Genomic DNA, 15,624 nt, shown 5'->3' on the forward strand with positions numbered 1-15,624 from the left:
TGCAGAAATTAGAAAAGTTTCCTTGTTGCTTTAGGAGGTTACCTCTAAATTATATATTTGTCATGGATACCTTTTAAGAGAAGGGGACTGACATTTAATGACCTTCATGCTCTCATATGACTGTTAGCATTTATTCCCATTTTACTGATTCAGAAATGGAGGATGAAATGGTTTGGCTGTGCCCCCACCCAAATCTCACCTTGAATTGTAATAATCCCCATGTGTCAAGGATAGGGCCAGGTGGAGATAATTGAATCATGAGGGCAGGTTTCTCCCATACTGTTCTCCTCGTGGTAATAAGTCTCACGAGATCCGATGGTTTTATAAATGGGATTCTCCTGCACAAGCTCTCTTGCGTGTTGCCGTGTAAGAGTGACTTTGCACCTCATTCACCTGCTATGATTGTGATTAGTAGTGCGAGAACAGACTAATACAGAGGGTCAGAGAAAACAAGCATTTTGCATAGAATTGCAGGCATATATTTTATTACAGGCACATATCTGACTCCAAAGCTAGTTTTTTGTTCTAAACATATTTTTCATTTGAAGAGACTTATTACTAAGGTCAGTTTGTTCTTCAGGAGATCTACTGGATAGTTTTAAAGGTATTTAATGTATGAAATAAACCAGTATTTGATGATACTTAAAGTACACTAAGGAAAAAGAATAACTTGTCCAATTTCTCATGTAATTTATTAACAGCCTTGCCTCGCTGTAGTACTTAACATGGATTTTAAAATTTGGTTTTCATGTTAAGGTTCTTCCATAGTCGGGTTAATTATCTTTATTTTACAGATGATGAAACTGAGGTGCACACAGAAACTATAATAGGTTTTCTTACCTTGAAGTATATTGTTCTTTACTCTCTATTGTAACTGCCAAGTATTGCTAGATTTGAGGTTCAGGTTTTCAGAAGAAAACAGTGGTTTACTGTAAACAATACCCAGTGATTCCTGATTTGGAATCAAGATACTCTAGGCAAGCAATATCATCAAATTCCTCCTTAATTCCCTCATCTTTAAAATGAGGAGTTTGAACCAAGAGCTCTCAGTACCTCTTTAAATGCTTGAGAATGATTATGGTTTAAAAGCTTCAGAGGTCTGTGAATTTGAGAAAAAAGTTACTTATTTTTGCTGGTCTCTGACTGAAATGTAGCATTTCTTTCTAACCACTGCAGTACTACCAGTACCTGTGATTTTGTCATCAACAGAAATCACAGCTATTTTCTTATTACAGTGTAGTTCTTGCAGACATCATGAAAATATCATTTGTGTTGATCACAATTTAGAAATTATGGTAACTAGTAGACTTGTTATTAGAGCTTATTTAATATGTTAAAAAGACAAACATGTATTTAATATCATTAGTTTTTGAAACTATTTTAACTGTATTTTAATATAATTGGTATTCTGTGTGTGTGGGTATACACTTTTTGCTTCAAAAAAGTATTATGGGAGTTTATAGTCTTTACACACTTCCAGAAGAGTTTATGGAACAAAGTTAAATATTCCTATGAATACAGAATGGCCAAGGTTGATGTGAAAAAAACTTTTTGGACACTGCTGGTTTTTTTGCAGGAGTGTGGCGGTGTGTGGATGGGGGAGATGTCTCTACAGCAATGTCTCAGGTTTCCAGAACGATGGGCTATGATTGTGTCACCTTCCTCTAGTACTGAGCAAGCTAGATAGAGCAAAATGATGATAAAAATAAATTTATGATTATTTGGATATCCTTTTTGCAAGAATTAAGCTTCTAAGCAGTTGTTCCATTTGAGGGGTTAGGAGAAGACCTCTTTTTTAAACTTATCTGATTTTTCAAGCAGGAGGACTAGCTTGCCAAGAACAAAAGTTACCCACACAACACATGTACTGCATAAAATTATTTCTGAAACAGAAAATCATTTGGAAGGCTGCATTACTTTAAAAACATTAGTGCATTCACTGCTGAGTTTTTGTGTGTCTGTTTTTTATTTTTTTGCTTGCTTGACTGTTAGTAATTTACATACTAACTGGTTATGAGGGAAGAAATGGTAATAATTTCTTCATATTTGTAATAATTAGAAATACATACAAAACTCAGTAGCTTCATTGTGACACAAAGACCACTGGAGTTCTGTCCTTTGGTGAGCCTGTTATTCCATTCGTAATGCATTTATCTTTAGATTGGGTAGGGTGGGATTTGCATTGAGTTACAATGAGTTTTCTGATCCTTATCAGTCAGTATTAGGAGTGACTGTTTTTAATAGTGATAATGAGGCAGCTATTCCCAGGAGAAGACTTAGTCACAGGCAGAATTGTCAGAACCCTGAAATAGTTTGGAAAACTCAGGATGGAAAAAGTAAGCTGTTTCAAAAACAAAACAAAAAACTTGAGTTGCTTTTTTGGGAAGGTTGAGATGGGGATGGATGGAGGTAGCAAGAAACCAGATGAACTTCCTTGAAGCCTGTGAGCTATCTAGAATGGAGAAGAGATTAGTACTGTTTACCCAAAGTACTGGAGTGTGAACATAAAGGTTTGAATAAGACCAAGTTGGTAATAGCTATTAATGTGGAAGTATGTTTGTTCTCTGTGCAAATTGGCAAAATTTAATTTGGCTTTGAGAAAAAGAGAAATGCTAGTAGCAGGTTACTTTTGTTGCCAGTTGAGAGAAAAATTCAAGTAGCATTTCATGCCAGGAGAGTATTTTACTGGTGTTAGAGTGGAAGTGGGGAGTGCTCATGGATCTGCAGGTCACACCACCAAACCAGGATTTACTGATTAATAATGGAGACAGGATAATTTTTGGCCTCATTAGGAAGAATGAAGATGAGAAATGTAGACTATGCCTTCAGGTATGTCTGTCCTACCTCAATTTTAAGTGTACAAGGAATCTTTTAGATTAGGGTTTCTTCATGCCTGCCTGCCTGCCTGCCAACATAATAAGCTGTAAAACCTTGTTTAGTTTTCCTTAAATCCAGAAATGATTCTATACCAAATCCATACAAATCGAATCACTCTTAAGGGAGTAAGTGAAAACATGTGTATCTGCCTTGGCTGGACTATATCTATTTGCAGATTGCCTCAATTCTCTTTGCTAAGCAAATTTCTTAAACATCCTATGATGACCATCATCCAGTTTGGAGGTAAATACAAGATGTGATAGCGTTTTCTTATCTGAACTGTTTTATAAACTCTGACCACACTAACTTTTCTAGCTACATAAGAGTCAACCTATCACTGCAAGGAAAAAAAAAAACATCCAACCTGACATATATAAAGACAAAATAAGAACAAATGCTGTTTGATTGCATTAAAACAATATACTGCATGTTGCAATTTACATATTGTATTAGTCCACACTGCTGCAAAAAAACTGCCTGAGACTGTAATTTATAAAGGAAAGAGGTTTAATTGACTCACAGTTCCACATGACTTGGGAGGACTCAGGAAACTCAATGGTGGAAGGTGAAGCAGATACTTTCTTCACAATGTGGCAGGAGGGAGAAGGAACACAGGAGGAACTAGCAAACACAAAACCATCAGATCTCGTGATAATTCATTCACTAACATGAGAACAGCATGGGAGAAACTGCCCCATGATTGTTACTTCCACCTGCTCTCTCCCTTGACATGTGGGGATTATGGGGATTATAATTCAAGATAAGAGTTGGGTGGGAACACAAAGCCCAACCATATCATTGTTTTCCTGGCCCTTCCTAATCTCATGTCCCTTTTACATTTCAAAGCCAATCATGCCTTCCCAGCAGCCCCCCAAAGTCTTAATTCACTCCAGCATTAACTCTAAAGTCCAAGTCCAAAGTGTCATGTGAGATGAGGCAAGTCCCTTCCACCTAGCAGCCTGTAAAATCAAAAGCAAGTTAGTTACTTCCAAGATACAGTGGATCGGATACAGGCATTGGGTAAATGTTCCTGTTCCAAGTGAGAGAAATTAGCCCAAACAAAGGGCCTGCAGGTCCCATGTAAGTCCAAAATCTGGCTGGGCAGTCATTAAATCCTTTTTTTTATTTTGTTGTTTGTTTTTTTGAGAGGGAGTTTTGGTCTTGTTGCCCAGGCTGGAGTGCAGTGGCATAATCTCAGCTCACTGCAACCTCCACCTCCTGGGTTCAAGAAATTCTCCTGCCTTAGCCTCCCAAGTAGCTGAGATTACAGGTGCCCACCACCATGCCCAGCTAATTATTCATTAAATCTTAAAGTTCTGGCCAGGTGCAGTGGCTCACGTCTGTAATCCCCAGCACTTTGGGAGGCTGAGGCAGGCAGATCACGAGGTAAGGCGTTCGAGACCAGCCTGACCAACATGGTGAAACTCCGTTTCTACTAAAAATACAAAAATTAGCTGGGTGTGGTGGCATGCGCTTGTAATCCCAGCTACTTGGGAGGCTGAGTCAGGAGAATCACTTGAACCTGGGAGGTGGAGGTTGCAGTGAGCTGAGATCACACCACTGCACTCCAGCCTGGGAGACACAGTGTGAGACTTTGTCTCAAAACAAACAAACAAACAAAAAACCTTAAAGTTCCAAAATGATCTCCATGTCTCACATCCAGGTCACACTGATGCAAGATTTAGGCTCCCATGGCCTTGGGCAGCTCCACCTGTGGCTCTGCAGGGTACAGCCCCCTTCCCAGAGGCTTTCACGGGCTGGTCTTGAGTATCTATGGCTTTTCTAGAAGCACGGTACAAGCTGTCAGTGGCCCTACCATTCTGGGGTCTGGAGGATGGTGGCCCTCTTCTCACAGCTCAACTAGGCAGTACCCCAGTGGAGACTCTGTGTGGGGGCTTCAACCCCACATTTCCCTTCCGCACTGCCCTAGCAGAGGTTCTCCATGAGGGCTCCACCCTGCAGCAAACTTCTGCCTGATCATCCAGATGTTTCCATACATCCTCTGAAATCTAGGTGGAGGTTCTCAAACCTCAATTCTTGACTTTCGTGCACCTGCAGGCCCAACACCATGTGTAAGCTGCCAAGGCTTGGGGCTTGCACCCTCTGAAGTAATGGCCTGAGCTGTACGTTGCTCCATTTTCACCCCAGTGGGGATGCGGGGCACCAAGTCTTGAGACTGCACAAAGCAACAAGGCTGTGGGCCTGGCCCAGGAAACCATTTTTTCCTCCTGGGCCTCCAGGCCTGTGATGGGATGGGGCTGCTGTGAAGACCTCTGGCATGCCCTGGAGACATTTTCCCCATCATCTTAGCAATTAACATTTGGCTCCTTGTTACTTATGCACATTTTTGTAGCTGGCTTGAATTTCTCCTCAGAAAATGGTTTTTTCTTTTCTGTCACATCATCAGGCTGCAAATTTTCCAAACTTTTATGCTCTGCTTCCTTTTTAAACTTAAGTTCCAATTCCAAACCATCTCTTTGTGAATGCTTAGAACTGAATGCTTTTAAGAGCATCCAAGTCACCTCCTAAGCTTTGCGGCGTAAACATTTCTTCTACGAGATACTCTAAATCATCTGTCTCAAGTTCAAAGTTCCACAGATCTCTAAGGTAGGGGCAAAATGTTACCAGTTTCTTTGCTAAAACATACTGAGAGTCACCTTTATTCCAGTTCTCAATAAGTCCTCCTCTTCATCTGAGACCACCTCATCCTGGACTTCATTGACCATATCACTATCAGCATTTTGGTCAGAGCCATTCAGCAAGTTTCTAGGAAGTTCCAAACTTTCCCACATCTTCATGTCTTCTTCTGAGTCCTCCAAATTGTTGCAACCTTTGCCTGTTACCCAGTTCCAAAATTGCTTCCACATTGTCGGGTATTTTTATAGCGCGGTGCCCCACTCTTGATATCAATTTACTGTATTAGTCTGTTCTCACATTGCTGTAAAAAAAACTGCCTGAAACTAGGTAATTTATAAAGGAAAGAGGTTTAATTGACTCACAGTTTCACATGGCTGGGCGAACACAGGAAACTTACAATCATGGCACAAGGTGAAGAAGCAGACACCTTCTTCACAATGTGGCAGTTGGGAGAATGAATGCAGGAGGAGCTACCAAACACTTACAAAACCATCAGATCTCGTGAGAACTGACCTCACTGTCATGAGAACAGCATGGGGGAAACCACCCCCACCATGATTCATTTACCTCCATCTGCTCCCTCCCTTGACATGCGGAGATTATGGGGATTATAATTCAAGATGAGATTTGGCTGGGGACACAAAGCCTAACCATATCACATATACTAGAAACTGTGTGTGTGTGAGACAGGGTCTTGCTCTGGCATGCAGGCTGGAGTGCAGTGGCATGATCACAACTTACTGCAGCCTCAACCTTCCTGGCTCAAAGTGATCCTCCTAACTCAGCCTCACAGGCAGCTAAGACCACAGGCATGCCACCATCCCTGGCAATTTTATTTTTTATTTTAATTTTTTTGAGAGCTGAGGTCTCCCTTTTTTGCCCAGGGTGGTCTGGAACTCCTAGGCTCAAGTGATCCTTCCAGTTAGGCCTCCCAAAGTGTTGGGATTACAGGCATGAGCCACAATGCCCAGCCCTGAAAACCTGTAATTTAGTGTTGGGAATAATAAAGATATGAAAAAAAAATGGATTTTGTTACCACCTTAGGGCACATTCTAGAGTTTATTGTGTTTATCAGTTTCTCACAACTTAAGTGGAAACGGTCTTAACAGTGCTTTGACAGACTGTAGCCTTGCAGGGGGAAACCTAATGTGAGATAGTTAACCAAATACACACCTTGGTGTAAACTACTGAGCTACCTCCCAGAAGGGAAGCTGCTATCTTCCTGAGGTGTGCTAGATTGGGTATCACATAAATGTTTTGTCTCCCCTTGAGTCTGTTCCCTGGGAATGGATTGGGTATCATTATGACATAGGAACAGCTGAAAATAAGGGAGTTACAGATGATTTTGAATATCAGACAGTAGTAACAGGTATGTATAAAATGATAGATGATAATATTAAATTTTGATTATACAGCAATAAATTTTTGTTGTAGAAAAATTGGAGAATACAACAAATGAAAGAAAAAAACCTTGTTGGAAAAATTTAATCTGAAAAAAGAACTAAAACATTTTGAACTTTTATCACTATTCTTATCCTTTTATATTGTGTTTTTCATTGAAGTATTAAATGTACATAGTTTAGTTGATAGCTGTTTAAGACTTGTTTTGAAAAGTGTCAGTCTTTCTCCCACTTCATCCCCCCACTTCTCCCTCTTGGAGGCTTGCTTTTAGCTTATTATTTTTGCATTTACCTCCATGTTCTTAACAGCATTCTTGTATTCTGATTTCTTGATTTCTCAGCTTCAGGTATCTTTTGATTTCCATTGTGGCACTTGAGGATTTAGTTCTTTTTTCTCATCCCCAGGAATGTTTTTGTCCCCCCATTTCCCTGGTATAGGTATTTATAACATTGCTTAGACTAGTATTCTAGTATTCAGTGTTGACACATTAAGACTGAAAGTGCATGTTAAGATTCACAGTTAAGCCATGTAGTAATTGTGACTACTTTTACTTTATTACTTTTGGTTTTCCATGAAATTTATGTTTTTCTTTATTGTTTACTTTTCTGTTAACTTCTCACTAATTTATTTCAAATTGTAACTTGTCCTTATTTACTTTCAGGAAAGTCAGACACTTCAAGTATTCTATTATCTTCATATTCCTGAAGATGTGTTCCCATCTGGACTGGTTGCCTACTGGTTTTATGTATACCTGTTATCCTGGGACTTCCCTTTACCAGCACCTTAGAGATATTCATTACCTCTTTGTATTGGATTACCTGTTTTTTAGATTTCATGTCTTCTTTCTTGGTTTAGTCTTTCATCTTGGCAGAACAGGTTCTCCAAGTAGCTGCCTGTGAAAGGGTTTATGTAAGTTAAACTTTGAGATCCTAATAGGCTGAAAATGTCTTACTCTGTTCTTACTCTTAATCGATTGTATGGTTGGGTATAAAATTTAGCTTGAAATTTTCCTTTGGAATTTTAAAGGGAAGTTCCATTGTTTTCTAGTTTCTTCTATGCTTCCTGCATTGCTCCTGAAGACCTAAGCCATTCTGATTCCTGATTTTTCATGTTATCAGTTCTTTTCTTTGTCCCTCAGCATTAGACATTTCACAATAATGTGCCTTAATGTGGTGAGGTACTTGATGCTGAGTACTTGAGGAATCCTTTCCATCATTGTGAGTAATTATGAACCCCTGCAATCTGGCAACTACTTTTGCATTATTTTGTTGATGACTTTCTCCCCTCCTTTTTTCTTCCTTAGTTTTCTCTTGAACCTTGTTATTCAAATATTGAACATTTTGGACTGGTCTTCCAATGTTTTTCTCCTTTTCTATTGCGTTTTTCATTTCTTTGTATTTTTTTGAGCTTTTCATTTCTACTGAGAAAGCATGCTTGTGCTTGCCCTGTATCACCTTTTAGTCTTCTTTTTTTTTGGTAGCATACTGCTCTTCTTATTTGAATATTTTCTCTTATATTTCTGAAAATAATAATGATTTCTTTTTCTCCAGAGGTTTCTTCTGCCTGCATAGTCTCTATCAGGAATTGACTACATAATTTGCAGGGCTGAGTACAGGATGAACATGTAGAGTCCCTTGTTCAGCATTTGTTAAACAATTCCACTACAGGCTGGGTGCAGTGGCTCACACCTGTAATCCCAGCACTTTGGGAGGCCAAGGTAGGTCTATTGCTTGAGCTCAGGAGTTCGAGACCAGACTGGGCAAAATGGTGAAACCCTGTCTCTACAAAAATAAAAAAAAAAAAATTAGCTGGGTGTAGTGGTTCACACCTGTAATCCCAGCACTTTGGGAGGTAGAGGTGGGTGAATCCCTTGAGCTCAGGAGTTTGAGACCAGCCTGGGCAACATGGCAAAACCCTGTCTCTACCAAAAAAAAAAAAAAAAAGCCTAGCACAGTGGCACATGTCTATAGTCCCACCTACTCAGGTGGCTGAGGTGGGAGGATCACTTGAACCTGGGTGGTTGCAGTGCATTGAGCTGAGATCATGCCACTGCACTACAGCCTGGGCAACAGAGCAGGAACATCTCAAAAAAAAAAAAAGCCATAAAAGAATTTCAAGACGGCAACAGCAGAGCATTAAACCGATTTTCAGACTCAAAGTCCACGGCTCTGCATGACTGGCCAAGTCACACGCCTATAAAGTTGATCCTGCTCTCTTTTTTCCAACTTGTTTTTCTTGTTTTTATCTCTATCTTTTATGCTAGAGATGTCTAGCTGTTTGCTCATATTCAATAGTGAGATTCTAAAAAAACTGATTAGAAGCTCTGAATATGCAAGTACGGCTTATCAACTAAGCTTCACTGGGGGATGATCTGGCTGGCAAATTTAGACTGGGGAATTTTTCAGTATCTCTGTGTTTCTCCTTTTAGAATAATGGCTGATCAGATTTCCCACAGAAGTCTCTTCCAGTTTCCCCTCCCTGGAAGTCAAGGCCTTACTGTGTCAGCCTTTTGGGAAGGGGTAGAGTGGGCTCGGGTCAGTGGTGTGTTAGAGCTGGTTCATACTAGCTTATCAGAGCCAATTGTTAAATTTTCAGAAATTTTGCAAGCCAGTTGCTAAATGTAACAATTATTTAAAATTATACAAATTTGTAGTTAAATAAGTTATATAAAAAGCCAAGGTAAATGTAAAAATTAGCCAGGCGAGGTCGTGCATGCCTGTGGTCCCAGCTACTTGAGAGGCTGAGGTGGGAGAAGCCCTTGAGCCCGGGAAGGCAGAGGTTGCAGTGACCCGAGATTGTGCCACTGCACTCCAGCCTGGGTGACAGAGTGAGACCCTGTCTCAAAAAAAACAAAAACAAAAACCAAAAAACGGTAATAAATACTAAAAACTCATCACTTTCTAATTGTTTTGTTACATTTTGTTATTATGGATGCTCTCCTATTCTGTTTATATGGTGAAATACTGTATAGTAATATATACTGTGCATCTCTTCTGAACTGTGTTCAGTGACATCATTTAGTAGCTTGAAGCTGCCATGGTAAGATATTTATACCGCAGAATCAGCAAATACTACAAACAACTGCCCTCATTCTCCCCATTACCCCTTCCTTTAGCCAGCTGGTAAACATTTACCAACCCACCATGGAGTGGGATCTGGCATGCACATGTTCACTTAAACTGTCCCACCTTACATCGTGATCCCTGGTCCAGATAATCCTCTGTTTTAACCCTCTGCAAAGATTATCTTCAGCCTTGTGCAAGGGTAGGTATTTGCCTGCCTGCCTAAGAGTAAGAAAGGGAATATGGGAATTGGATTGCATTTCAGAAACATTTTCTATTAATCCCTCCTGTTTTATCTTCTACTTTTAATTTCTGAACGTTTTGTAAGAGAATGTTCCCTGATGCTTACCTTAGGGTTTGGCTTTATTGGGGGTTATCTGAGTTCTTTAACTCTTACTCATTTATTTTTCAGCTTTTAAAGTTTATGGCTATAATCTCCAGTTCTTTTTGACCTGTGAGTTTATGTCTTTACATTTCCCTAGGTCTTTGGGGAAGGATCAACAAAGAGCTATGTGTTTAGTCTACCATCCTTAACCAGAAGTCTGGGACATAATTCTTTATAAAAATAGGTAAATAACTTAAACAATTTAAGTTCTAAATAGGCATAGCCAATCCCCTGTTGGTTTGCAAGTCATATATATATATATATATATATATATATATATATATATATATATATATATATATATATATATATATATATATATATATGCAGTCAGTAACTTTTTTTTTTTTTTTTTTTTACTGATTCTGGGGTATTTTTCATTTCCTTAAAGAAGTAACCATCTATATGTGGTTGTTCAACTACATGACTTGTATTTTTTTTTTGTTTTTGTTTTTATTTTTAGAGACAGGGTCTTGCTATGTTACCCAGGGCTGGTCTCAAACTCCTGGCCTCAAGTGATCCTCTTGCCTTGTCCTCACAAAGTTTTGGGATTATAAGGCTGAGCTACTGTACTGGGCTTTATCAGTTTTTTATATTTTTTATATGGATGTATGAGGAGATAAGAAAACACACAAAATAGTTTCAGGTCATATTGTTTGGTCTTGAGAATTGGAACAATTAGTATTCCATTGTCTCTAATTCTTCAGCAATTCCAGTTGCCCATCAGTAGCTGGATCTGGTGACCTGGTCATCTCACTCGCTCTCAAGTAGGCATTTATTGCTCTGTTATCCAAGACTGGAAGATTGAGTCTTCCAGTCTTGTGACTGTCTCCATGGGATTTCATGTTATTGAGTTGGTTAGACTCTCATTGTGCTTAATTTCACACTAGGTCATCTCACAGTCCACTAAGTTCTCCTTTGTCTATTTGTTGATGGTTTTGTTGTTGATGGCCAGTGTAGAAGGGTCATAGGATATGAAGGTGGAAATTTAAGTAGGAAAATTTGCCTATTATTCCTATGGATTAAGAAGGGGGAATGTGGGTCTGTTAGGCACTTAAGAAACTCCTGGATTCCTTTATTGAGGAATGCACATATTTACACTTTTTTTAAAAGAAGATTTTTGTGGTTCAAGACAATGACAGCTGTATCTAAAAGAAATAAATACCTGTTCAAGTTTCTTTTGACACTGTACCTATCATACAGTGTACATGTGATCGATTTTTAGGTGAACCTTCTCTTTCAAAGTTGTGAAGATGGTAATTATTTTTAAAAATCCAGTATACAGAAATATCCAGTTGCCAAATTTTATTAAGCATTTATATAGAAAGGACTTCTGGCAACAACTTTTTGTTCTTCTTCTTTCCATTCTGTCCTTCTTCCCTCACTATGGTTTGTGTTTGAGTTGTTTTCAGTTTATATGATGACTCTGTATGGGTTAATGGCTGTTTTGTTTTTAATCCTTTGTAATTTTTGGTGATAACCCTGGGATTCTCTTTCCCTGAATGGGTGGCAGGAGAATTAGTCCAGGTTTTTTCATGTGATTGTATGCACAGGACCAACATTCTATATAGTGTGTGAAAGGATTTATTTTTCCTGAACTTTCTTTTTTTAGATGGAGTCTGGCTCTGTCGCCAGGCTGGAGTGCAGTGGCGCAATCTCGGCTCACTGCAAGCTCTGCCTCCCGGGTTTACGCCATTCTCCTGCCTCAGCCTCCCAAGTAGCTGGGACTATGGGTGCCCGCCACCACGCCCAGCTAATTTTTTGTATTTTTAGTAGAGACGGGGTTTCACCGTGTTAGCCAGGATGGTCTTGATCTGACCTTGTGATCTACCCACCTCAGCCTCCTAAAGTGCTAGGATTACAGGCATGAGCCACCACACCTGGCCAATTTTTCCTGAACTTTCATAGGAAACTCCTTTAAGGGTACAACTGTTAAATCACCTTGAAAGGCATATTTAACAAATCACCTTAAGTGAAAAAAAAAATGTATGCAATTGGACCGCCTCAGGTTATCCAGGTCCTTTAACTGCCATGCTTGCCATAATCTTTTCTCAAAGCAGACCTGCATCTACCTTGGCATTGCCTGAAGCGTGCATTTGAAAGAGGAAATCTACCAGCAAGGAGGGAACTCATTGGCATGGTTTGGGGAGAATTATGATAGGTTTATGATAAACTTGCTCAGGCGGTTGACTTTGTCAAGGCGACGGTGATTGTGTGCTTTGACCAGCAGCCTCAGACAAGACAAGCTCCTTTCTCAGCCTAGATGGGAAAGTGGTTAGCTGCCCAAAGCTAAATGGTAGGGTGAATTTTTTGCCAAACATATCAGCAGATTCTTTTTTCCTGTCTCTTTGCTAATACTGGGTGCTTTTAAAAAAATAAGTTTTGGCCAGGTGTGGTGGCTCACGCCTGTAATCCCAGCACTTTGGGAGGCTGAGGCGGGCAGATCACGAGGTCAGGAGATCGAGACCATCCTGGTTAACACGGTGAAACCCCGTCTCTACTAAAAATACACACACACAAAAATTAGCCGGGTGTGGTAGTGGGCGCCTGTAGTCCCAGCTACCCGGGAGGCTGAGGCAGGAGAATGGTGTGAACCCGGGAGGTGGAGCTTGCGGTAAGTCGAGATCTGCCACTGCACTCCAGCCTGTGTGACAGAGCAAGACTCCGTCTAAAATATATATATAAAGTTTTAAGGTGAGAAAGTTGAATAATTTTAATGTATAGTCATAGTCTTTGTTAAAACTTTTGTTAAATCTGGGATACTGTTGAGATAGCAGATGGCTGTTATAAAATGGGAACATGTCAGCTGTAAAAAGAAACCAATGTGGATTAAATCATAATTAAAAATACCTCTGGTTCACTAAAATATTTTTCCTTTGGGTTAAATATTAATTTTGTTATAGTTTTCTTTTTTATTCATCTTTTGAGAAAACCAAAAAATAAACAGTGGACACAGAGAAAATGACCAAGGGTAGCTTTGGAATTCCTTCATTCAGAGACTTTTTAGAATGTGGACTTTCCAAAGTCAAAGAATCTTAAAAATAAGAGTTACTTGTAAAAGCAAGGCTGATATGGGCGGTTTTTTTTTTTTTTAATTCAGTGACTTGTCAAAAAATAGATGATACTTATCAGGAATATTTGGCCATCTTGTAATATAAGGAATATCAGAAGGATATTGTCCACAAATGCCTTAAAATGGCACGTGCTTTACACATCCCACACCCCCCACCTGCAAAGAACAGATGCCTTCTATTCCCTGGCTCCCTTGCATTGTTGCCCAAAGTAGTTACATATGACCTTTTACTGAGACAACTTGCAATGTTTCTTTTTTTTTTTTTGGAGACAGGGTCTCCCTCTGTTGCTCAGGCTGGAGGGATTTCAGCTCACTGCAACCTCTACCTCCTGGGTTCCAGTGATCCTCCCACCTCAGCCTCCTGAGTAGCTGGGATTACAGCCAAATGCCACCACCCCCGGCTAAGTTTCATATTTTTTGTAGAGATGGGATTTCACCATGTTGGCCAGGCTGGTTTCAAACTGCTGACATCAAATGATCTGCCCGCCTCAGCCTCCCAAAGTGTTGGGATTACAGGCGTGAGCCACTGCATCCAGCCAGCTTGCAGTGTTTCTGACTGGTCCCAGTGCTTAGCTCAGTACCAAGGCACAGTAGGTTTTCATCTGTCGAATGGAGAAAGTGAATCAATACCTATTTGCCTCTTATGTCCATTCTCTGTAAAGCTGCCGCAGGGATCTGTCAAAAATACTCATCTTTAGTGGACCTCAGATCCCTACAGTTTTGCCTTTCAGATGCTTTTCCGTTTAAAATTGTTTTTGAAATTATACAATTTAACATGTATTTGTGATCAGAAATTCAAACCACATTGAAATAGCTGCAAAAAAATCTCTAACTTGCCTCCGCAAATATCCAGTTTGCCAGTTATTATATAAGACATCTTTCAGCTGGGCGTGGTGGCTCACGCCTGTAATCCCAGCACTTTGGGAGGCTGAGGCGAGCGGATCACGAGGTCAGGAGATCGAGACCACGGTGAAACCTCGTCTCTACTAAAAAAAGAAAAAATTAGCTGGGCGTGGTGGCGGGCGCCTGTAGTCCCAGCTACTTAGGAGGCTGAGGCAAGAGAATGGCGTGAACCCGGGAGGCGGAGCTTGCAGTGAGCCGAGATCACGCCACTGCACTCCAGCCTGGGCAACAGAGCAAGACTCTGTCTCAAAAAAAAAAAAAAAAAAATACAAACAAGCAACAACAACAACAAAAAAAGACATCTTTCTGTGTATTTGCAAACTACATATAGTCTTTTCAGTTTTTACACCAATAGCAGCATTATGCTAAAGTATTGTCTCTCTCCTCCCCCACCATTGGCTTCAGTAACTGATTTAATGTCATGGAAAATTTTAAAAAACAATTTATATATTTTTGATGAGACGGGGTCTCGCTCTGTTCCCTAGGCTGGTCTGGAATTCCTGGGCTCAAGTGATCCTCTCACCTGGGCTTCCCAAAATGCTGGGACTACAGGCATGAGCCACCATGCCTGGCCAGTGTCATGGAAATTAACCTTTTGTGCATATTGCAAATATTATTGTCCCATTCTTTTGCTTGTGTTTTAACTTTATGGTGTCTTTTTTCCAAATAAAAGTTTAACGTTTATATTTAGATATGTCAGTAATTTATATCTTTAGGAAGGAGGAGTTACCCAACTAAGATTATAAAGCATTCTACCATATTTGACAGTGTTGGATTTTACATTTTACTCAGTGTGCCATTAAAAATTTTTTTACTAAAATTATTTTTTTGGCCGGGCACGGTGGCTCACGCCTGTAATCCCAGCACTTTGGGAGGCTGAGGTGGGCGGATCACGAGGTCAGGAGATCGAGACCATCCCGGCTAACACGGTGAAACCCCATCTCTACTAAAAATACAAAAAAAAAAAAAAAAGCAAAAACGGGCATGATGGTGGGTGCCTGTAGTCCCAGCTAGTCGGGAGGCTGAGGCAGGAGAATGGCGTGAACCCGGGAGGCAGAGCTTGCAGTGACCTGAGATCACACCACTGCACTCCAGCCTGGGCGACAGAGTGAGACTCTGTCTCAAAAAAAAAAAAAAAAAAAAAAAAAAAAAAAAAAATATATATTTTTTTTTTTTTTTTTTTTTTTAGAGACAGAGTCTCACTTATGTTGCCCAAGCTAGTCTCAAGCTCCTGGCCTCAACTGATCTTTCCTTTTTGGCCTCCCAAAGTACTGGGATTATATGCG

The 15,624-nt window shown here is 40.0% G+C and overlaps 1 protein-coding gene across 14 annotated transcripts in view; it reads left to right on the forward strand.

Moving 5' to 3' along the window:
• The window catches only part of FBXO34 (F-box protein 34), a 171,629-nt gene that overhangs the window by 36,303 nt on the left and 119,702 nt on the right, over positions 1-15,624 (forward strand). The window lies entirely within an intron of this gene.

This window comes from Homo sapiens, chromosome 14 (genome assembly GCF_000001405.40).
Source record: "Homo sapiens chromosome 14, GRCh38.p14 Primary Assembly".
Lineage (NCBI taxonomy): Eukaryota > Metazoa > Chordata > Mammalia > Primates > Hominidae > Homo > Homo sapiens.